Source organism: Homo sapiens, chromosome 6 (genome assembly GCF_000001405.40).
Source record: "Homo sapiens chromosome 6, GRCh38.p14 Primary Assembly".
Taxonomy (NCBI): Eukaryota; Metazoa; Chordata; class Mammalia; order Primates; family Hominidae; genus Homo; species Homo sapiens.
Genome location: NC_000006.12, coordinates 87,101,242 through 87,123,849, shown reverse-complemented (window position 1 = coordinate 87,123,849; position 22,608 = coordinate 87,101,242). Strand labels below are relative to the sequence as shown.

Here is a 22,608-nt window from a genome sequence, read left to right as displayed (position 1 = left end):
CAGTCATTAGAGTAATTTCATTTCTGGGAAGTCTCCCAAAGAGGCTTCACTAAGAGTTATCAGATGATTATTAGTTCCTCTTACTCTTTCACTCAGAGGCATCTCAATATACACAGAAAATGCTAGGAAAATCTAAAAGTTGTTAGTTCACCTTTGCAAATATAATATTTCACCTGATATGTGATTTACTTATTTTTGGTAAAATTCTTGGAGCTTCAGGGTTAGTTCATTCAATCTATGGAAAACATCCAAAGTGTAAAATAATTGGCCAAACCAGTCGTTTTGTCAAACCAATGAGCCAAATCATACTTTCCTTTTTTTTTTTTTTTTTTTGAGAATGGGTATCACTCTGTTGCCCAGGCTGGAATGAAGTGGTGCGATCACAACTCACTGCAGCCTTAATCTCTCAGGCTCAAGCGATCCTCCCATCTCAGCCTTCTGAGTAACCGGGACTACAGGCATTTATTTATTTATTTATTTATTTATTTTAGAAATGGAGTCTCACTATGTTGCCTAGGCTGGTCTTGAACTCCTGGACTGAAGCAATCCTTCTTCCTCAGCCTCCCAAAGTGCTGGGATTACAGGCATGAGTCACTGTGCGGAGATTCACGCTTACTTTCCATCAGAATAAAAAAAAAGACTTCATTTTTGAATGAAATATATGAGTTAATATACATCCCAATAATTAAAATCTTCCTTCCTAATTTTAAGACCAAGATAAATATTTAGGTAAGTCATGAAGCTTTGGCAGGAGTTTGTTACAGAATGAAATAACGGACTGCCACTTGTCTGAGTCTCTTTTCTTCCGAGAAGAATCTATTGTTTAGGGTAATGCATTTTGTGATTATGTGTAGAAGTTGGAAGAGATGAGGTTGTTGAGCAAAACTGCCATGATTTTTGCGGCCCCACTCAATCATACATCTATGGTTCACTATGAATAGAAACAGATTGGCTGCCCGTAGCTTCCCAGCCCGAGGCCCGGGGGGCGCGCACCTCTGTTCCGGCGCGGGGCGGGCCCTGGCGGAGGGACTGGCGGGTCCCTTCCTCCGCGCCGGCCCCAGGCCCGCCGCCGCCGCCGCCGCGCTGCGAGACCCCATTCCCGAGCTACCGCTGTTGTCGCTCACTCGGCGCCTCCCTCCCGGACGCCCTCTCCTCTGGACGATGGCGCGCGGTGGCCGCAGCCGCCGCCTGGGGCTAGTCCTCGGGCTCGTCCTGGAGATGCTGCTGGCGCTGGTGCTGGCCTGCGGGCGCTGCGGGCCAAGCCCACCGTGCGCAAGGAGCGCGTGGTGCGGCCTGACTCGGAGCTGGGCGAGCGGCTTCCAGAGGTCAACCGGAGCTTCCGGTACCGCCATGAGGCCTTCCTGGGCAAGGAGGACTCTAAGACCTTCGACCAGCTCACCCCGGACAAGAGCAAGGAGAGGCTGGGGAAGATTGTTGATCGAATCAACAATGATGGAGATGGCTTTGGCACTACTGAGGAGCTGAAAACCTGGATCAAACGGGTGCAGAAAAGATACATCTTCGATGATGTCGCCAAAGTCTGGCGGGATTACGATAGGGACAAGGATGATAAAATTTACTAGGAAGAATACAAACAAGCCACCTATGACCTAGGAAACCCCGCGGAGTTTCATGATTCTTCAGATCATTACACCTTTAAAAAGATGCTGCCGCGTGACGAGAGAAGATTCAAAGCTGCAGACCTCGATGGCGCCCTGACAGCCACTCGGGAGGAGTTCACTGCCTTTCTGCATACCGAAGAGTTTGAGCATATGAAGGAAATTGTGGTTTTGGAAACCCTGGAGGACAACGACAAGAACGGTGATGGGTTTGTGGATCAGGATGAATATATTGTGGTTATGTTTTCCCATGAGAATGGCTCTGAGCCAGACTGGGTTTTATCAGAACTGGAGCAATTTAACGAATTCCGGGATCTGAACAAGGACCGGAAGTTGGACAAAGACGAGATTCGCCACTGGATCCTCTCTCAAGATTATGATCATGCACAGGGTGAGGCCAGGCATCTAGTATATATGAGTCAGACAAAAACAAGAATCAGAGGCTAAAGAGGAAATATTGGAGAACTGGAACATGTTTGTTGGAAGCCAAACTACCAATTATGGGGAAGATCCCACAAAAAATCATGATGAGCTTTGATAGACACTCACCAGAATATGCCAGACTGTCATAGGCGTTGTTATTGTCTTGGATGGTTGCTACAATTGTCTAATTTACAGCAGTTGTGTTCCTAAAAAAGCAAGTTTATACCTCAGATTGGGGTATAAAAATTGTTTTTCACTCAGTATTTACTGGAAAATGGACATTACTATTCTTTCAGTAAGATTTCTCTCAAAACACATGAAAACCTTGGTAAATTGCAGTTCTCTCTGGGGATATATTGGTACAGCATGACTTTTTAAAAGTTTTTTTTTTCAGCTGGGCGTTCTGGCTCGAGCCTGTAATCCCAGCAATTTGGAAGGCCGAGACGGGCAGATCACGAGGTTAGGAGTTCAAGACCAGCCTGGCCAACATAGTGAAACCCCGTCTCTACTAAAAAAATACAAAAAAAAAAAAATAGCCAGGCGTGGTGGCGGGCACCTGTAGTACCAGCTACTTGGGAGGCTAAGGCAGGAGAATCACCTGAACCTGGGAGTTGGAGGTTGCAGTGATCCGAGATTGCGCCATTGCACTGCACTCCAGCCTGGGCGACACAACGAGACTCTGTCTCAAAAAACAAACAAACAAAAAACAAAAAAAACCTTTTTATTATTTTTTTTTAAATTAAAACTTAAAGGGGAACAAAACTTGAAAAAGCTCTGTTCTTCAGAAGTTGGGTGGGTTGGGGGAGGCAGTAATATGAAGTGACTACTATGTATTTTAACTACCAGATTTTATATATTTACCACTGTTAACTAGTTGGAAAGTGGAAATTCTGATCAAAAGTGGTATCATCCTAGGTAAGCTTATTTCAGAATAAGTCTAATATTTCAGATTCTTCCTTCTCGACTTTATACTCTGAGCTGTTACTGTAAGTGATGTGTATGAAACCTCCATGCATTTTCCAGGATGGACCTGCTAATATGCACAATAAATCCATGTCTTTGTTTTTCTACTAAAAAGCAATCAAGAAAGATAATGTGAAAAAGAAAGGAATTTAGAGGTAGGGAAAAAGATGAATGTCATACATTTGAAGAACTATAGGAAAATTATAAACACTAAATATACTTGAGAAAACTTTCTTGATATGCCAGTGAGGTAGGCCTGATCTTTGAAATAGTGAATAGGAATACAATGCGTTTCCTCGATGATCACTGATTAGAAGGAGGTGGTGGGATCCTTGGGAAGCCAAATGTAGTAAAGTTCTGGATCATGTCCCATCTAGTCCAGTGAATCCACGACCCTCGGGCCTCTCCCCCAAGAACAGCTTATGCTATGGAATGAGGACAAGGTGATACTCTGAGTCATGGACTGAATTGGCAGACACAACCTGTACTTATTAAAATTCCACCTTGTAAGGAGGAGGTGAATGAAATAAAGGATCCCCCTAAGGATTTAAAAAAAAAAAAAGAGAGAAATAGGTTTAAGACAGAGAAAAATGCTAAGACCTACTGTGGGTTTATGGTGTCCTCATTAAAGATGTCTTCATCCCATTATCCTCAGCAAACTAACACAGGAACAGAGAACCAAACACAGCATGTTCTCACTTACAAGAGGGAGCTGAATGATGAGAATACATGGACACATGCGGGGGAACAACGCACACTGGGGCCTGTGGGGAGGGGGTTGGTGGGGGGGAGGAAGAGCATCAGGAAGAATAGATAGTGGATGCTGGGCTTAACACCTAGGTGATGGGATGATTTGTGAAGCAAACCACCATGGCACTTGCTTACCTGTGTAACAGTAAGCACACGTACATCCTGTACACGTACCCTGGAACTTAAAAGTTGAAGAAAAAGAAAAAAAAGGATGGCTTCATCAACACAGATATTTTGAATTCTCCCTATGTTTTCACTCTAGAATTTTCATTCTCAAGGCGATTCAATACAGTCAGTTTTGGAATGCATGAAAGACATGTCTTTCTTTTGTAATTGAAAATGCAACTGTGAAAGGTGAGGGGAGATAGGAAGAAAGATAGGAAGAAAGAACAGGCATATACTAGGTCAAGTTTTCTATAACTAATGTATGCCTTCTTATTAGTGAACTTTTTGTTTGTTTGTTTGCTTGTTTTTGAGATAGTCTCACCCAGGCTGGAGTGCAGTGGTGCACCTTGGGAGGCTCGCTGCAACCTCCGCCTCCCAAGTCCAAGCGATTCTCCTGTCTCATCCTCCTGAGTAGCTGGGACTACAGGTGTGCACCACCAGCCCGGCTAATTTTTGTATTTTTAGTAGAGAGGACATTTCACCACGTTGGCCAGGCTGGTCTCGAACTCTTGGCCTCAATCAACCTGCCCGCCTCAGCCTCCCAAAGTGCTGGCATTACAGGCATAAGCCACCACATCTGGCCTTCTATTAGTAAACTTTGAAAGGTCAGTTGATACCTTGTGTGGTTCCAAAAAGGTTTTAACAGCTTAAAAAGCTACAAATAATAAAGCAAAATAAAATGAGGGAACCAGAGTAAATGGAACATCAGGGTTTAGGAACGCTTTTACACTGTTGGTGGGAATGTAAATTAGTTCAACAATTGTGGAAGACAGTGTGATGATCCCTCAAGGATCTAGAGCCGGAAATACCATTTGACCCAGCAATCCCGTTACTGGGTATATACCCAAAGGATTATAAATCATTCTACTATAAAGACACATGCACATGTATGTTTATTGCAGCACTGTTCACAATAACAAAGACTTGGAACCAACCCAAATGCCATCAGTGATAGACTGGATAAAGAAAATATGGCATATATACACCATGGACTATTATGCAGCCATAAAAAAGAATGAGTTCATGTCCTTTGCAGGGACATGGGTGAAGCTAGAAGCCATCATTTTCAGCAAACTAACACAGGAACAGAAAACCAAACACCACATGTTCTCACTCATAAGTGGGAGTTGAACAATGAGAACACATGGACACAGGGAGGGGAACATCATACACCAGAGCCTGTTAGGGGGTTGGGGGAAAGGGCGGGGAGAGCGTTAGGAGAAATACCTAATGCATGCAGGGCTTAAAACCTAGATGAAGGGTTGATAGGTGTAGCAAACCACCATGGCACATGTATACTTATGTAACAAACCTGCACATTCTGCACATGTATCCCAGAACTTAAAGTAAAAAAAGAAAAAAGAAAAAAAAAAAGAAAGTAACATAAAGCTAAGAGCAAGTTTGGAGCACAGAACATAGTGAGAGGCCCTTCATTCTCTTGTTAAGTTCAGGCCATAACTGTGAGTACAGTAGTCCCTTCTTACCCACGATTTCATTTTCCATGATTTAATACTAAAGTAAATCATGATTTGAAAATATCCAATGGAAAATTTCAGAAATAATTCATGCATTTTAAATTGTAGGCTGTTCTGAGCAGTGTGGTGAAATCTCCTGCCATCGCACTCTGTCCTGCCCGGGATGTGAATCATCCCTTTGTCCAACATAAACACGCTGTATATGCTACCTAGTCATTAGTCATTTAGTAGGCCACTCAGGTATTAGTTAGGAATGACTGGGAGCACAGTTCAGAATCCTAACAAGGCAGCCACCTCACCTCTGCACAGAGATGCCTGTGGCAACACCTTTGCAGAGGGCAAGATTCTTCTCCAAAAGTAATATGTGATGAGCTCTAAAACACAGATAAATGAGATCTCAGAAGGTCAAATTCCATCACTCTAATCATGTCCACAATTATTTTACCTTGGAAAAACTTTGGGCAACTATAATTGAACATTGGCCTTAGCCATAAAACTATTTCAGAAAAGGAACCACAGAGTGTATAACTTTAAGAAATATAATTTCCTGGTGAACATATTAAGTTAAAGTGTAAAATATTGATAATGGACTTATGGAGTTGTAAATTATGAACCAGTTTACTGTTGGGTAATAGTGAACAAAAATAATGGTTTAATTCTAGAGTACTTGGTCTCTAGCTCCTTTTTGGGAAGTAATGGGATAGGAAGGTTGATTCTCTCTTAAAGCCAATCTTGGAGTACTTGAAATAGAGGCATGTCATCTACATATAAAAGAATATCTTCCTTATTTTCAGAGTAGGGTCATATATCTAAATCATAGTGTCAAATAATAAAGGTAATGTAAAAGAGTGAATATTACAGATTCCTATTTTGCCTCAATGGAAATTGTTAGCTGATACATGAAGAAACCACTTCCCCACCTCCAGAATAATGCTTAAGCAAATGCAAATATATACAGATTCTAAATGGGCATCAAAAGCAAAACAAAACAAAATTTTAAAGTGAGTTTATTCACTGTGACCAATAATTCATTTTGTCCTCTAAGTCAAAGGAGTAGAAGATAAATGAAAGCCTAGAAAATTATTATATGATTTGTAACAGAGCCAGTAACACTTATCAATTGTTTCATTTGATCCTCTTGCATTTTCCAGCCCCCTTGTAGTTAGTGAGCTCATGTGACTAGCTTTGGTCAATAAAATGAAAGCCAAATTGATCTTCAGGCAGAGGTAGTAAAAAGTCTATGTATAATTTTCTAGTCTCTTTTTTCTCCTGATTGAGGAAGTTGTGTATTCCCTATGGGGCATCTACAAGTTGGTGGGCATTGGCCAACTTAGGTCTCTGAGTGACTACGTGGAGCAGGGACTTTTGCTGACCTGTAATAGACATGTATAATGAGCAAGAAATAAATTTTCACTATTGGCCAGGTGTGGTGGCTCATGCCTGCAATCTCAGCACTTTGGGAAGCTGAGGTAGAAGGACTGCTTGAGTCTGGGAGTTCGAGACCAGCCTGGCCAACATAGTGAGATTCTGCCTCTACAAAAAATAAAAAAGTTAGCTGGGCATAGTGGAAAATGCTGTAGTCCTAGCTACTCAGGAGGCTGAGGTGAGAGGATTGCTTGAGCCTGGGAGTTTGAGGCTACAGTGAACTGTGATCTTGCCACCATATTCCAGCCTGGGCTACAGAGCAAGACCTAGTCTCAAACAAAGCAAAACAAAACAAACAAACAAACAAAAACTTTAACTATGTTAAGACACTGAGAATTCAGGATTAATTTGTTACTACCATATAACCCAGTCTATTCCAACTAATACAGTTTTTGTAATAGATTTCTCCACAAGATAATAAGAGAGGTTAATAATGTTAATAAGGAAATAGCTTTATCTAAAGAATGCCTGATCCTCATGGTGAACCTTGGTTTGAGAATCCTAGCATTAGTTTAAAAAGCATGGAGCTAGAATACACATTGGAAGAAAGATATAATAAGCTAGTGGGTTAAAAAATTCCCCTTTACAAAATGGGAATAAAGCATTTCTGGGATCTAAACTCACAGGTTTATGTGTGTAAAGTTAATAAAGGTAAACAAGGTAGCATGCATTTAAAGCAATGCTTAAGGCATACCAATTCTAGGTCAGAAAATGTTGCGCTATTCTTTAATTCATTTAGGTTGTGCTTTTAAAGTGAGTATACTACATGTGAGAACAATGCTGATATCCAGTCAGAGAGCATTCTGGGAGGGGAAAAGTCTGAGTTTGGGTTTAAACCTTTGTAAAATGACGATAACATTTTCTATCTTTCAGGGTAGTTATGAGACATAATTATATCAACATGATACATACTAACTGCTTAGTCTATCTGAAGGAAAAACAAGCTTTCTTTTTTTCTTTCTGCTATACTGTCACAGTCAACACAGAACACTTATGTGACCAGATGTGTGAGGGGTTTCCCCCGCAACATATCCAACAGACACCAGCTGGGTGTCCTATGATTCAATTCAATTCTGACACTATCTATCTGGAGATCTCACAGGCTAAGAGCTCAGCCCACACTTCAGATGCCAATTACAAGCAATAGGTTATCATGTACACTCCTAACCAACTTTGTATAACCTGAGGTTCCCATGCTTCTCCTCCTTGGGTTTAACAAATTTGCTTGGATGTGTCAACCTAAATAACACACAAAAAGAGGCTCTCTAAGAGAAAAAGATATTTATGTGGGGATAGAGCATTGTAATGGGAATATGCATGCCATAGTAAATTATGTGCATATTCAAGGATGTAAAGGAAGACAAAGGTTTTTAAAGTAAAAAAATGAGGGGGATTACATCATTGTTTTGAAATAATTATACTTAGCTAGAAGGATCAAAGACAAGGGTGACACCGGTCTGAGGTTGAGCAAGCAGTTGCTGGGCAGATGTCCTTGCAGAAGCCTTTTTTTGTGTATGGTTGTGATGGTCTTATGCAAAGAGGTAGTTTTTGCAGAGTCTTTTGTGATAGCTTTTGTTATTATCAGATATAAAAGCATGAAAACCTCTCTTCATGGCTCTATTTGTCAGGCTTTTTGTTTGTTTAAACGTTAGTGACTTCATTTTGATTCTGATAACTTTCACATTTCCTCCTTTCGGTCAAGATCTTTGTCCAAAAGCATCACTCACTGATCAATCATCCTGTAGGTAGGTCTTAATGTCCCTTGGTGCTGGGATAAACCTGTCCTGGTTGTGGGGAGTGATTGGTGACTAGGAGTCAGTGTCAAAACCCTTTTAGCCATGTTTTAGCAATAAAGAAGGTTTGAAGGGAGTGGCTCTCAGGTTAAGTCTACCAGGAATCCATTATTAAGTTTAATTTTGTTTTTTCTGTAGCATTTTGTTATCATCTCAAAGTGCTGGGCCTTCTCTTTTTGTTAGGAGTTGTACTTCTGCAAAAATTTAACAAGTAACGGACACAAAGTTTAAAAAGGGAACATACAAAGTAAAATTAATAGTAATATGACAGTTGTAGTTTGCATAATGATTTTGAGCCATGAACCTAGGCTTAAAGATAACAAATTGAATACATCAAATTACCATAGAGAATTAAGTGAGACCTGTTGTAACCATGTGGCCTGTTTTCTTATTTTGTGTACATGGGTCTCAACTTTTCCGCAGAAATTTTTCCAGGTACAGCCTGTAGTATTGGCAATAGCACAGACATTTTCTTATTTAACCAATGAATTGGTTAAAATTCTTAGAATAGTTTCTGTTAAGTTACTAGCAGAAGGTATTGATTGTAAAATTTCAATTACGCTGTTATACTGCCAAGTAAAAAGGTAGGCATTAAGTGGGATAAGACTCTCATTGTGTTATAAAGTTTTATTCCAACATCTTGGGGGAAATCTGTCTATAGTATGAAAATGTCAGCTTCTCTGGCTTTGCAGTTTGAATGTGTCTGATCATAACTTTGGGTGATTTGTTGAACTTTGGTGTGGCCCATCGATCAGACATGAGGCTTGTTTTCTGAAATTCATCTAGTTTCAGCTTATAGGGATTTAGGAAAAGAAAAGTTTTCTGTGTTTGTTTTTAGTTGGAAAGTTGTAGCCTAATATTGAAGGAAATGAGGAGAATTCAGGATCTACTCAAGTCTACAGGTAGACAAAAAGAACCTGAAAACAATGCACAGAGCTACAATCTAATAACAGGTTTATTATAGTTTTTCTTTAGAAACATACCTTTTTCTCTCTACATTGATCATATAGGGGTTTTAGACTTAAAAACTTCTTGATGCTAGGAAGCCAAACCAAAGCAGACTTTAGATTTTACTTACAGTCTTAAGATTATTTGGACTTCCATGAAGTGATAATCTTAACTACAGTAAAATTGTGAACTCTGGAAGCCAGATGTTTTATGCACCTTCTTAAATATGACATTTTAGCCAAAGCCTTGGTAGTAAAACCAATGTTTCCAATTGTATCCTGCTTATAAGGAGAGGACAGTTCTTTTTTTTAATTGAACTTATGGAAACAATCATATGATAAAAAATAAGAATACTTATGAATAGTTTCTGAATTTTGGAGTAATTAGATGGGAGAGAAAGCAAGTGCTTACATCTTTGTTCACAAAATAATTTTGTGAACAAAATTATTGTTCACAATAATTACCAAATTATTGTAAACTATAGATAGCTAGCTTATGAAAAAAAGCTTCCTTAAATTTGAAAACAAAATATTTAAGTGAAGAACCAAAAGTGTTTTAAATAAATCATAAAAACATTATTTTGATCAGTTAATTAATTAATTTTACATAATTAATTTTTTGTTTCGCTTGATCTTGATTAGCAGTTTTATGAACCCATCAATCTCTTTATTAGAGTTCTGGAAATATGTTTTCAGTCCAATGATTTTAAAGTTATCAGAAATCTGTGCTCAAGAGTACTTGCTAGAGTCTTTTCCATAAAAAGCAAGTTTGGTCTGTCATTGGTTGCAAATGCTTTTAGAGAATAATTCAAAACAATAACCATGGATGACAAATATTTAGAATATCCACGGTTAAAATTTCATAAAAGTTCCATATAATGAGGAAATTTAGATATTCCAATTACATGCAGCATTTTAAGATGATAACCAGTATCATGACTGACAGTCACATCAGGAACATCAGACTTTTATAAATTTCATATAATCTTTAGAATACTCAAATTAATAACATATTCATACAAATAAAACTTTTAAAAAGATTTAACATAACCAAATTATTACTGATAACATATTAGATTCTTATGAATTTGCATAATTTTTTTTTTTGAGACAGAGTCTCACTCTGTCACCCAGGCTGGAGTACAATGGCGGGATCTCGGCTCACTGTAACCTCTGCCTCCCGGGTTCAAGTGATTCTCCTGCCTCAGCCTCCCGAGTAGCTGGGATTACAGGCACGACACCACGCCTGGCTAACTTTTGTATTTTTTACTAGAGATGGGGCTTCACCACGTTGGCCAGGCTGGTCTCAAACTCCTCACCCAGGTGATCTGCCCGCCTTGGCCTCCCAAAGTGCTGGGATTACAGGCGTGAGCCACTGTGCCCAGCCTGAATTTACATCATTTTTGAAACATAACCATAAATATAAACGAAAGAAGATCTAGTATCACTTATCATTTGACGATGCCTCCCATTCAATTTACCAAATAAGCCTAATCATTTACTATCTCTGGAAATGAGAGATACATTCTTTGATGCTTTCCAGGGACCCAACTGGAAAATTCCAAAGTTAATTACAGGCCAAAACCACTTAATTTAGGATTTTGATCCTGGGGAACCCTGCCAGAGATGTCAAAATGTTCACAACACTTGATCAAAACAGTCACAGGTCACTGTAAAATAATACTTATTCATTTAACTGGAGTAATAACCAAAAGAATTCAAAAGTAATACAGAAAATTGCATGGCTATGAAAACCTTACCCTTTTAAAGTTCAGTTTTCCTAAGAAATCACAAACCTTAGCTGGGCATGGTGGCTTATACCTATAATCTGGAAGGCCAAAGCAGGAGGATTGCTTGAGCTCTGGAGTTAGAGACCAGCCTGGTCAACATAGTGAGACCTCATCTCTGAAAACAAAACAAAGCAAAAACAAAAACAAACAAACAAAAGAAAACAGCCTGGTGTGGTGGTGTGTGCCTGTAGTCCCAGTTATTTAGGAGGCTGAGGTGGGAGGATCACTTGAGCCCAGGAGATCAAGGCTGCAGTGAGCCATAGTCATGCCACTGCACTGCAGCCTGGGTGAAAGAATGAGACTCTGTCTCAAAAGCATAAAAAACAAAAAAACCGAATAAAGACAAAGACAATACAGGAAAATATCTTCATAAAACTTAAAATATTTGTGTTTTTTTTTTTTTTAGGCCACTTACCAAAAAGGTAAAGAAAAACCTCTCGTGGTGTGATTGCTTCTACATATGGGAAGCCCACTTAGATGACCTGGAAATCAAACCTGATGAAAAGTGTACTTGACTTTAATCAGACACAGGAAGAATGTGTCTAGAATTATGTGTGTACCCTACATTATAGAGTAATGTAAACAAAAAACTAATACCTTAAGGAGGCAAATAGAGTAACAACATAGGAAGTTTCCTAGTTATATGGAACAATTCGAACACATCAAGAAAAGCCAAGAGTGCAGAATCAAGTTATACTGGAGGAAAATATTGCTTTTCCAGGACTTCAGGGTAAGCATTTTAGTGTCAGGCTATAACAGCAGAATAAGAACCAGAGGAAAAAAAAAAGAAGATAATGAGAGTTAACAAAAAAGTTGAAGGAGATAGTTATCACCTCAGCCAAGCAAAACAAGATACCTATTGAAGGGGAAAAAAACTAAAGGTATGATGTATGACCTGCAAATCACATGCAGCAAGGTACAGGAAAAGTTGAACTTCTGAGATATAAATCTGAGATGCTTCCAAATTTTTTTTACCTTAGTAAATAAAATAAGCATTCCAAATAACAAAGACAGTATTTTCAACTGAAACTAGAGAAATTAAAACATCTCAGAAAGAAATCTGGCAGAAATAGAAACTGTCTATAGTTTAGAAGATGCCTGTTAAAGAAACAGATTTCAGAATTAATCAAAACCTCTTTTAATTTTACTAAGAGCAAATCAATACTTTGAGGAAACCTTGTTGTTCTAACATAGGGCGACTAAATTTTTTGTTTTCTATTAGTGTATGGTTACCATCAAAGCTCAATCTACAGAAAGACTTCTAAATAATTCCTTTCTAATTAATTATAGCCAACTAGATTACACACAAATTTAAAAAATAGGGCTCAGTGGCTCACGCCTGTAATCCCAGCACTTTGGGAGGCTGAGGTGGGTGGATCACCAGGTCAGGAGATTGAAACCATCCTGTCCAACATGGGGAAATCCTGTCTCTACTAAAGTACAAAAAATTAGCCGGGCATGGTGGTGCATGCCTGTTGTCCCAGCTACTTGGGAGGCTGAGGCATGGGAATCTCTTGAACCTGGGAGGCGGAGATTAGTGAGCCAAGATCACACCACTGCACTCCAGCCTGGTGACAGAGCAAGACTCTGGCTCAAAAATAAATAAATAAATAAATAAATAAATAAATAAATAAATTCCCCCTGCATTAACCTTATTATGACTTACTCAGATGACTGATGACATGCTTGGATTTTCTGCTTTGTTCTACACTTCCTCTTTCTTAGATGACCAGTCATTTTATTTTAGGACAAACATTTACTACACAAAAATCTTCCTTGTACAAAATGATTCTCTCTTCTTTTTAACTTTTATTACCAAAAATACATCTTCATATCCACAACTTTGTTCACATCTCTCTCCTACTTATTGACTTCTTTCTATCTTGTTTCTATTTATTTCCTATATCCAGAGTTTGGATGTAGGAGACTATTTAAATAGCCTGTGAATTAGACAAAATTATTCTTTTTTCCCTCAATAAAGAACATATTATATGCCTTTCTTATAATTTTTCTTATTAAAATGCATTTTACTTTTTGGGTACACTTTATATACAGAACTCTATACATTAAATAGAATTTTAACTTAGTAACTTTAATTGTTAGCAACCGATTTTGAACTGTCACATCAGTATTTTTGAGATAAGAATTATCTTATAATTTTTAGAAATATCTCTCTCCCCATAACATAATTTTTTAGGTATAATACACCCAAATATATTTAATCTTTCAATAAAATTGAAGAAGCTAAGAATAAACTTATTCATGTTCAGCAATTTGTTTCATTTTTTAAAAATCTTATTTGGAAATGACCCAGACATTTAGTGACTATCTATTTCTTAATTTAACATAACTTTAAGATTTCAAATTACATAAAAGTTCTCCTGAGTAGCTGAGACTACAGGCATACACCATCATGCCTATTTTTGATGCTTATTCCAGTTACATTTACCTAACTTATTTATTTTTTAACAGTTTTCCTAGATTACTTATGAAAACTGAGATATTAGACAAAGCTAGTCATCATTTCAAGCTTTTTCCCTGTTAAACATTTTTTTTTTTTTGACACAGTGTCTCACTCTGTTGCCCAGGCTGGAGTGCAGTGGTACGATCAAGGCTCACTGCAACCCCCGCCTTCTGGGCTCAAGTGATCCTCCCACCTCAGCCTCCTGGGTAGCTGGGACTACAGGCATGCATGCATCACCATGTCCAGCTGATTTTTGTAGTTTTTGTAGAGACAAGGTTTCACCATGTTACCCAGGCTGGTCTCAAACTCCTGGGCTCAAGCAACCCACCTGCCTTGGCCTCTCAGTGCTGAGATTACAGGTGTGCACCACCATGCCTGGTCCATTAACCATTTTTATAGTCTTGAATATTAAGTGTTCATCTAAGTAAGAAACTTAAAATAAAATATATGGATACTTTGCTGATAACTCAGAAGATACAGCTTTTTTCATTAAACCAACTGTATTAGTCCATTTTCACACTGCTGATAGACATACCTGAGACTGGGCAATTTACAAAAGAAAGAGGTTTACTGGACTCACAGTTCCACGTGGTGGAGGAGGCCTCACAATCATAACAGAAGGTGAAAGGCACGTCTCCCATGGCAGCAGACCAGAGAAGAGAGCTTGTGCAGGGAAACTCCCATTTTTAAAACCATCGGATCTCATGAGACTTATTCATCATCATGAGAACAGCATGGGAAAGACTCGCCCTCATGATTCAATTATCTCCTGCCAGGTCCCTCCCACAACACCTGGGAATTATGGGAGCTACAAGATGAGATTTGGGTGGGGACACAGAGCCAAACTACATGACCAACAAAATCAAAGTGGTCTTACTCATCAAAAAATCTCATAAACAGAGATCATTCTGTTTTCAGCTGGGTTTATAGTTTCACAATTTTTGTGTCAAGCCCTAACACCTTAAAACGTCTATTGGTGACAAATGTAAAACAATGTGACCTGTAAATCCACCAAAAATGTATGCTGACAATTTTGAAGACATTTCTATTTTTATTTTACTAATAATTTTAAAACCAGCTTATTTATTGAAGATTTACTTAAGTCACATGAACTAAAAAGCATTAGGGTTAATTATTACTTATATGAGTGCTTACCTATCTAAGCCAATCTGAATAGAATTCCTTAAGGGATTTCTGGTTGACTATGCCAGATTTTTACCATGTAGATACAACATATAACATAACGTATGGACATATGTGTAAACACACCTAAACACATATACGCACATAAGAATCTGATAACTTTCATTGTAGAATTCTAGTCATGAGGTAGCAGTACAGACTCACTGGTTTATAAAAGGCTGTTGGATCTCAATTATATTTCTGACAAAATTGGGACCTATTCACATGACTAAACTTTATTTGCCTCAATAGATAATCTAATAAAGACTGTGGACCAAAATTTTGGGTAAAGCAGTTTCCATGGCAGTTTGATTTTTAAGAAACCTATTTCACCCATTTTTTTTTTCAGTTTCACCTGAACTTAGGGTTAAATTTTCAATTTCTACAATTTAGGCTGGACTGGCTGAATTGCATAAGAATAACAAAATCTCCAGGTAGCTTTGAACTATGAAGGAAGATCCCCTTTCTCACTTCTCTCTAGCAAACTCCAACTCATTTCTCAAGGTCCAACTCAGAAGTTCCCTCTCCCGTGAAGTCTTCTCTGAGTGTCTCCTTTACCCCCTTTCTTCTCTATCACCTTCCACTTTTTCAGAGCTTAATTGCTCTATCCTGTGTGTTCCCATAATCCTTTAAGCATTCTTCCCTTGGTGCCATGATATGATATGAAACCATGATATGTTGTATTTGGTTGTTTTTCTTCATGTATGCTTAACTACCTGCCTTGAAGATGAATTCCTTAAGAACATGACATGCTTCAATCTGTGTTATGTACTACGCTAGATAAAGAATATGCAATGAGGCTGGGTGCGGTGGCTCACCCCTGTAATTCCAGCATTTTGGAAGGCCGAGGCGGGTGGATCATTTGAGGTCAGGAGTTTGAGACCAGCCTGGCCAACATGGCGAAACCCCATCTCTACTGAAAACACAAAGATTAGTTGGGCATGGTAGCCTGCACCTGTAATCTCAGCTATTCAGGAGGCCAAAGGCAGGAGAATCGCTTGAACCAGGGAGGCGAGGTTGCAGTGAGCCAAGTTCGTGCCGTTGCACTACAGCATGGGCGACAGAGCGAGACTCCATCTCAAAAAACAAAACAAAACAAAACAAAACACGAGAACAAAAACAAGAAACAAAAAAAATTCTTTACTCCAAAGGAGCTAACAGTCCAATGAGAGGCAGAGCAGTAAATTCCAGCAGTGTGTGATGAGGACTATGGCAAGGGCGTGGAAAATACAGCAGGAGCATTTATGGAGTCACTTCACTTAGAAGGAGTGAGCAGGCCAGGTATGCATCAGAAAGTTGATGCTTAAGCTGAATCTTAGAGGTTAATAAGAGTTCTTGGACAGACAAGAGAAAGAATATTCCAGGCAAGGTCACAGAGTCATGAGAGAATATGGTAGCTTCAGTGCACTATGAACAGTGTGATATCATTGGAACAAAAAGTTTATGTTGGGGCCAGATGAGAGATGAGGTTAGAGAGAATTTTAAGGGCAAAATTGAAAAAATCTTAAGGGTTATGCTAGAAAATGAAGATTCCATTTCCAAAAGTAATTGCGAAGTGCCTGGCATAGAATATTGACCATTGCATCGCTGATCATTTTGAGGCAGAGACTGCTCACAGTTGATACAGAAATCAAAAGGCATGGTCACGGAATTGATGGTTGGCATTGAGACTGTTACACTGACATCTTTGCTTTGGGAGAGAAAAATCAATATTGAAGCCCTAAATTTTCTGTGTTTTTAAAATTCAAAGATCAAAGACATAAATATGACTGGGAAGCTGTACATAAAAGAAAAGATGAGTAAAATTGGAAAGCTTGGAAGTAATATACACTTATTACTTACTTAGGGTTCTTCTGCATTCATAGTAAACTAATTGCTAGTAGCAGGGTTCTTAGCCTGGGTTATATTGATCTTTTTGAGGTTCTGAAAACATCTTGAAATTCTAGGCTAAGTTTTGAGCACATGTATGTTTGCTTATTTTCCTGGGGAGAGGGGTTTGGGATTTTTCCTAGGTTTAATAGAGCTCTTGGCCCCAAAAAGATCAAAATCCACTAGGCTGTAGCATATACAACTAGAAGAAAAGGACAAAGAGGCAATATTGTTTAGACATTGCATGGTAGATAGTCATGTAGGAATTTCTTTTTGGGGAATGTAGAGTTAGCAGGTAAAACAACATTCAATGCTATAGTAAACAATCCTCCAAATGAAGCGGCTTATGATAATAGCACCTGATTTCTTACTCAATTTGAAGATCAATGCAGTGAGTGGTGGAGGGCAGGTGGGGAGGTGTGGGGCTGTGTATCATAGTGTGTAGGAGGTTCTCATATGCATAGTCCTTTAAAGATAGGCCTCCTTCCATCCTGTGGCTATGCCATCTTCAACATGGCACCTCAAAGTCATGCTGGCATCCAGGGGAAAAGGGAGAGCAGGTGGGGAAGGCACATTCCTTTAAAATGCCTTGATGGGGCAATGGCACTTCCCTTCTCACATTCCATTCACAAGAACTGATCATATGGTCCCACTTCCAGGTGTAAGGGAGATGTAAAATGTAGTTTATCTAGGTGCACAAGAAGAGGAACTAGTGTATTTTGCTAGTGTATTTAGCAAATACACTTCGTATTTGGTAAATATCTGGCTAGCTTCTGTCATGGGGAATTTGAAAAACTGCTTGAATTCTTATCTGCTGGTTATGGTTTTGGTCTAGCTCTAAATGGAAAAGAGAGATTGAACTAGATATCCTCTACTAAAGATCTTCCTAAGGTTGTGTGTAAGGGGTTTTGAAAAATGTGTCCTTTGCTTAAAAAATGTATAGGTCAAGAGCACAACTTCAGGAATTCTCTGATTCATCAACAGCCTCAAAAATAGTCATCCAACCAATAACTCAGATAGAATGTAAGATAGGGCTGTAAGACTTTAACATGAAGAAAAAGATTTCTCCCTTATATTCCTTTATACACTGAAGATATCCAGCAGTCTTTTGAGGCCTAGCACATTTTATTGTCAAATAAGATTCACTTTCTGCTTTTATTCTGATTAGCTTCCTTCTAAAGTACTAATCCAGGAACTCGTTAACTCAAACTGCAGAACTAGTCTATTCCAGAGGGGAACACAAAGATCAACTTATGTAGATCATCTAAGAACTGGAGCTTATTAAAATGCTTTACTTTTGAAAGACATTTTCAAGTGACTACTTTAATCATATAGAATTTTGCTAATTAAACAGCCAATTTAAATGCCAACTCTACTAACTGGATTTTGAGTTACAGTTAATTTTAATTATTTCTGTTCTATAAAAATATACATAAGAGCTTTTTAATTTTAATTCCACTTTTTATGCAGCAGTTAACTCACCCACACAGTCAGCTCCAATAGTTGCGAAAACAGAAATAAGTGGTAGCTGAAGGTATAGTTTCCTAATTTTAAGCTTATAAAAAAATGTATTTTTTGAATTGTATAGAATAAATTCTTCCCTTTCATATCTCCTACCAGTATCACAAAGGCAAAGCAGACAGTGTGGTCTGTATGAATGTAATCCTGGTCAAATTCTGACTTTAAGCAGTCTTTTTCTGACTTTAGTTTTATTTCCTCATTAAAAAGAGTCCTTCCTTTTCCTCTTGATTGCTAAATCAGTTTTCTGGCTCTGTCTTCATGCCCTTATTTTAAAAATGTATTGAAAACTTACTACTTATCTGTGTGATCTTAAGCAAATCCCCATCCACTGTAGAGCCTTATCTGCAATATAGGAGTAGTCTCATAGGTTTGTTGAGAAGGCCTCAAACCAGATGATGAATAGTAGAGTGCTTTCAAATCTTTCAAGGGCTCTAGAAATGCAAGCTACCATTATCAATGTAACCATCAATAACCCAAATAGGTAGAATAGATACTATAAAGTTTGGGGAAGGAGGAGAGTATGACTCAAATAATCTTACTGGGGTGAGAAATCAGAGTGCGGGGGCAGAACTTTCCTGGGTCATGGTGTAAGAGGGGGATTTAAATACGTGGAGAGGAAAAGAAAGGGCATCTCAGACAGGGCTATATGACGTGTCCTGAAGGAAATGCACACGGGGGATGAATAAATCAAGCTGGTTGTCTCTGAAGCAGTTTGTTAACCTGAGTATATTGAGGAATAAACTTAGAAAGTAGATTAGGATCAGCAGAGGAAGTCTTTTTATTGATAAGGACCTCAAGTTGATTTTTGATTAGAACACAATGGGATGAGGTTGATATTTTCAGAAGACTCATCTGGCAAGAAAGGAGAGTGACCAGAGGCACTAAGACCAGTGAGAGGGGTGTCATGCCAATCCTGATAAGAAAAAAATACAAGTTTAAACCATATGAGAACAATGAAGTAAGAAGGAATGATATAAAAGAGAAGTAGAAAACCACTATTATCATCATCATCTACTGCTGCTACCATCAAAACCACAAAAACCATGGCATTACAAGAGTGCATCATGGATTTGGTGGACAGATAAGGGGAGCAGTCAAGAAGGTCTTCAAGCTTTAGAGTTTTGGTGACTAGGAAAATGACATCAACAACCATGATGGTACTGTTGCGGGAGACAGGGATGCAGGCTTTAGTTTTGGACGTGATGAGTTTAAGGTGGAGGCTATAGATGCAAGTGAAAAGTTCAGGACTCCACGGCTTGCCACTTCTCGCTTTGAATGTTATACCCTTCTAATATTGAACTGCTTGCAGTCTCTTGTGAAAACCACACTCTCATACTTGCATGCCTTTTTATCTTGCTGTTACCACTAATTAGAATACCCTCTCATCTTCATTTTTATTTTTTTAAAGTCAGGCCTACTGATACATAATCTACATACAGTAAAATCTATCATTTCTAGACACAGACATAGGTTTTGAGTATCAACAAAAATATACAAGCATGTAACTGCCACTTACTCAAGGTATAGAAAACTTCCTTTGTGCACCTTTGTAGTTAATCTTCTCACCCTATTCCCAAACCACTAATTGATCTCTTTCTATAGTTTTGCCTCTTCCAGAATGCCATATAAATGGAATCATACTGTTAGCTTTTTGTGTTTAGCTTCGTTCACAGTGTAATTATTTTGAGATTCATCCATGGTGATGAACATATCAGTAGTCTGTTTCTTTTTATTGCTGAATAGCATTCCTTTGTACCAATGTGCTATGCTTTATATCCACTTTCACTAGTTGAAGAACAATTGAATTACAGTTGGCCCTTGAAAAACACAGATTTGAACTACATGAGTCCACTTAAACATGAGTTTTATTCCACCCCTGTCACCCTGAGATAGCAAGACCAACCCTTCCTCTTTCCCCTCTTTCCCAACCTACTCAATACGAAGATAATAAAGATGAAGACCTTTAACGATGATGCACTGCCATTTAATGAATAGTAAATGTATTTTCTCTACCTTATTATTTTCTTAATAACATCTTCTTCTCTCTAGCTTGCTTTATTGTAAGAATAAAGTATGTAATGCATGTAACATACAAAATATCTGTTCATCAACTGTTTATGTTATAGGTAAGGCTTTAAGTCAAGTGTAAGCTATTAGTAGTTAAGTGTTTGGGGAGTTAAAAATATTTTTTTCACATTAAAAATATTTTCGACTGTGCAGGGGTCAGCACCCCTAACCCTTATGTTATCCAAGGGTCAAATGTATTTTCAGTTTTTGGTTATTATGCATAGAATTACTATAAACGTTCATGTGCAAGTCTTTGTGTGAACATATATTTTAATTTCTCTTGGATAATTACCTAGGAGGGAGATTGCCAGATCATAACATAAATTTATGTTTATGTACATGTATATTTAACTTTATAAGAAACCGTCAGGCCAGGTTCAGTGGCCCATGCCTGTAATCCCAGCACTTTGGGAGGCCGAGGCAGGCGGATTGCCTGAGCTCAGGAGTTCCAGACCAGCCTGGGCAACATGGCGAAATCCCGTCTCTACAAAAAATACAAAAAAAAAAAAAAAATCTAGCCAGGCATGGTGGCACATGCCTGTAGTCCCTGCAGCTTGGGAGGCAGAGGTGGGAGGATTACTTGAGCCTGGGAGGCAGAGGTTGCAGTGAGCAGAGATTGTGCCGCTGCACTCCAGCTCTGGGCAACAGAGTGAGATCCTGTCTCCAAAAAAAAAAAAAGGACCTGCCAAACTGTTTTCCGAAGCAATTGTACAATTTGCATTCCCACCAATAATGTATGAGAGTTCCAGTTACGCTGTATCCTTGCCAGTAGTGACTGTTTTGGGCATCTACTCTCTCCCTCTCGTTTATTGCTCTAGAGGAAGTCAGATAATGTGTTGTTAGCAGCCCTATGGAGAGGCCCATGTGATGAGGAACTGAAGTCTGTGGCCAATAACCAGTGAGGAACTGCAGCTTGTCAGCAACCATGTGAATGAGTTTAGAAGTGCATTCTCCAGCCCCAGTTGAGCTTTTAGATAACTGTAGCCTCATATGACAGCTTGGCATGTCAGCCCCATATGACACCTTTTGAGTGACCTTGATTCAGAACCACCCAGATAAGGGGCTCCCAGATTTCTGACCCTCAGAATCTATGTGAGACAATAAAAGCTTGTTGATTTAAGCTGCTACATTTGGAGTAATTGGTTGCATAGCAACTGATAGTTAATACACTGAATGAAGACACTGGCATGAAGCTCAAGGGAGATGTCAGGTCTGGAATAGAGATTTCATGTGAAGCCATGAGAGAGGATAAGTTTTGTATGTTTTGTGCTTTAGGCCAGAGCTTTCTACCCAATTTCTGCATCTGGAATGTCTCTAATTATCTCAAAGAATATAAACAATTCTCAAAACAAAATTCATAATAGAAATACAATATTTTTGGGTTAGGGAGAGGGGGTCATATAGTTAAATAATGATAATGTTGTCTCAATTCTCTAAAATCTAGGAATCAGTCTCCATATGGTTTCTCTCCATCTCTTTATTGGCAACTCTCATTCTATGTTTTATGGTATTCTATTCCTTTGGCAATTTTCAGGTATATACAAATTATTTAACGCCCACTCTTTCTCCTCTTTCTTCTTTTTTTTCTTCTGGAATCCAGCCTTAGCATTTCAAAGAATGACCCAAGTTAAAACCACTCCCAGGGAGAATGGATTTAAATGCCTGATATGGCATGGTGGCCTTTGAAACTGATCAGGCATAAAGAAAGACAAAGTGGGAAACCTTTATTCCCTACTCCCATTTGGCCCCCAACTCTCAGAAAGTACATTTATCCTGGAGATGTGAGTGCGGGGAATGTACGGGTATGGAGAAAGTGTCTTAGCCCATTTGTCTCTTTGTGTTGTTATAAAGGAATACCAGAGGCTGGATAATTTATAAAGAAAAGAAGTTTATTTGGTTCACAGTTCTGCAGACTGTACAAGAAGCATGGTGGCTGCATCTGCTTTTGGTGAAAGCTTCAGGTTGTTTCCATTCATGTCAGAAGAGAGGGGAGACATTGTGCAGAAGTCACCCGGAAAAAAAGGAGGCAGAGAAAGGGGAGGGAGGTACCAGGTTCTTTTTAACAACCAGCTCTGGGAAGAACTCTCATGGGAACTTGCATAATAGAGCAAGAACTCATTCATTACCATGAGGATGGCACCAAGCTAGTCATGAG

General features: G+C 38.8%; 1 pseudogene; it reads left to right on the top strand.

Annotated features, from left to right (window-relative positions):
• RCN1P1 (reticulocalbin 1 pseudogene 1) lies at window positions 1,037–2,434 on the top strand (annotated as a pseudogene).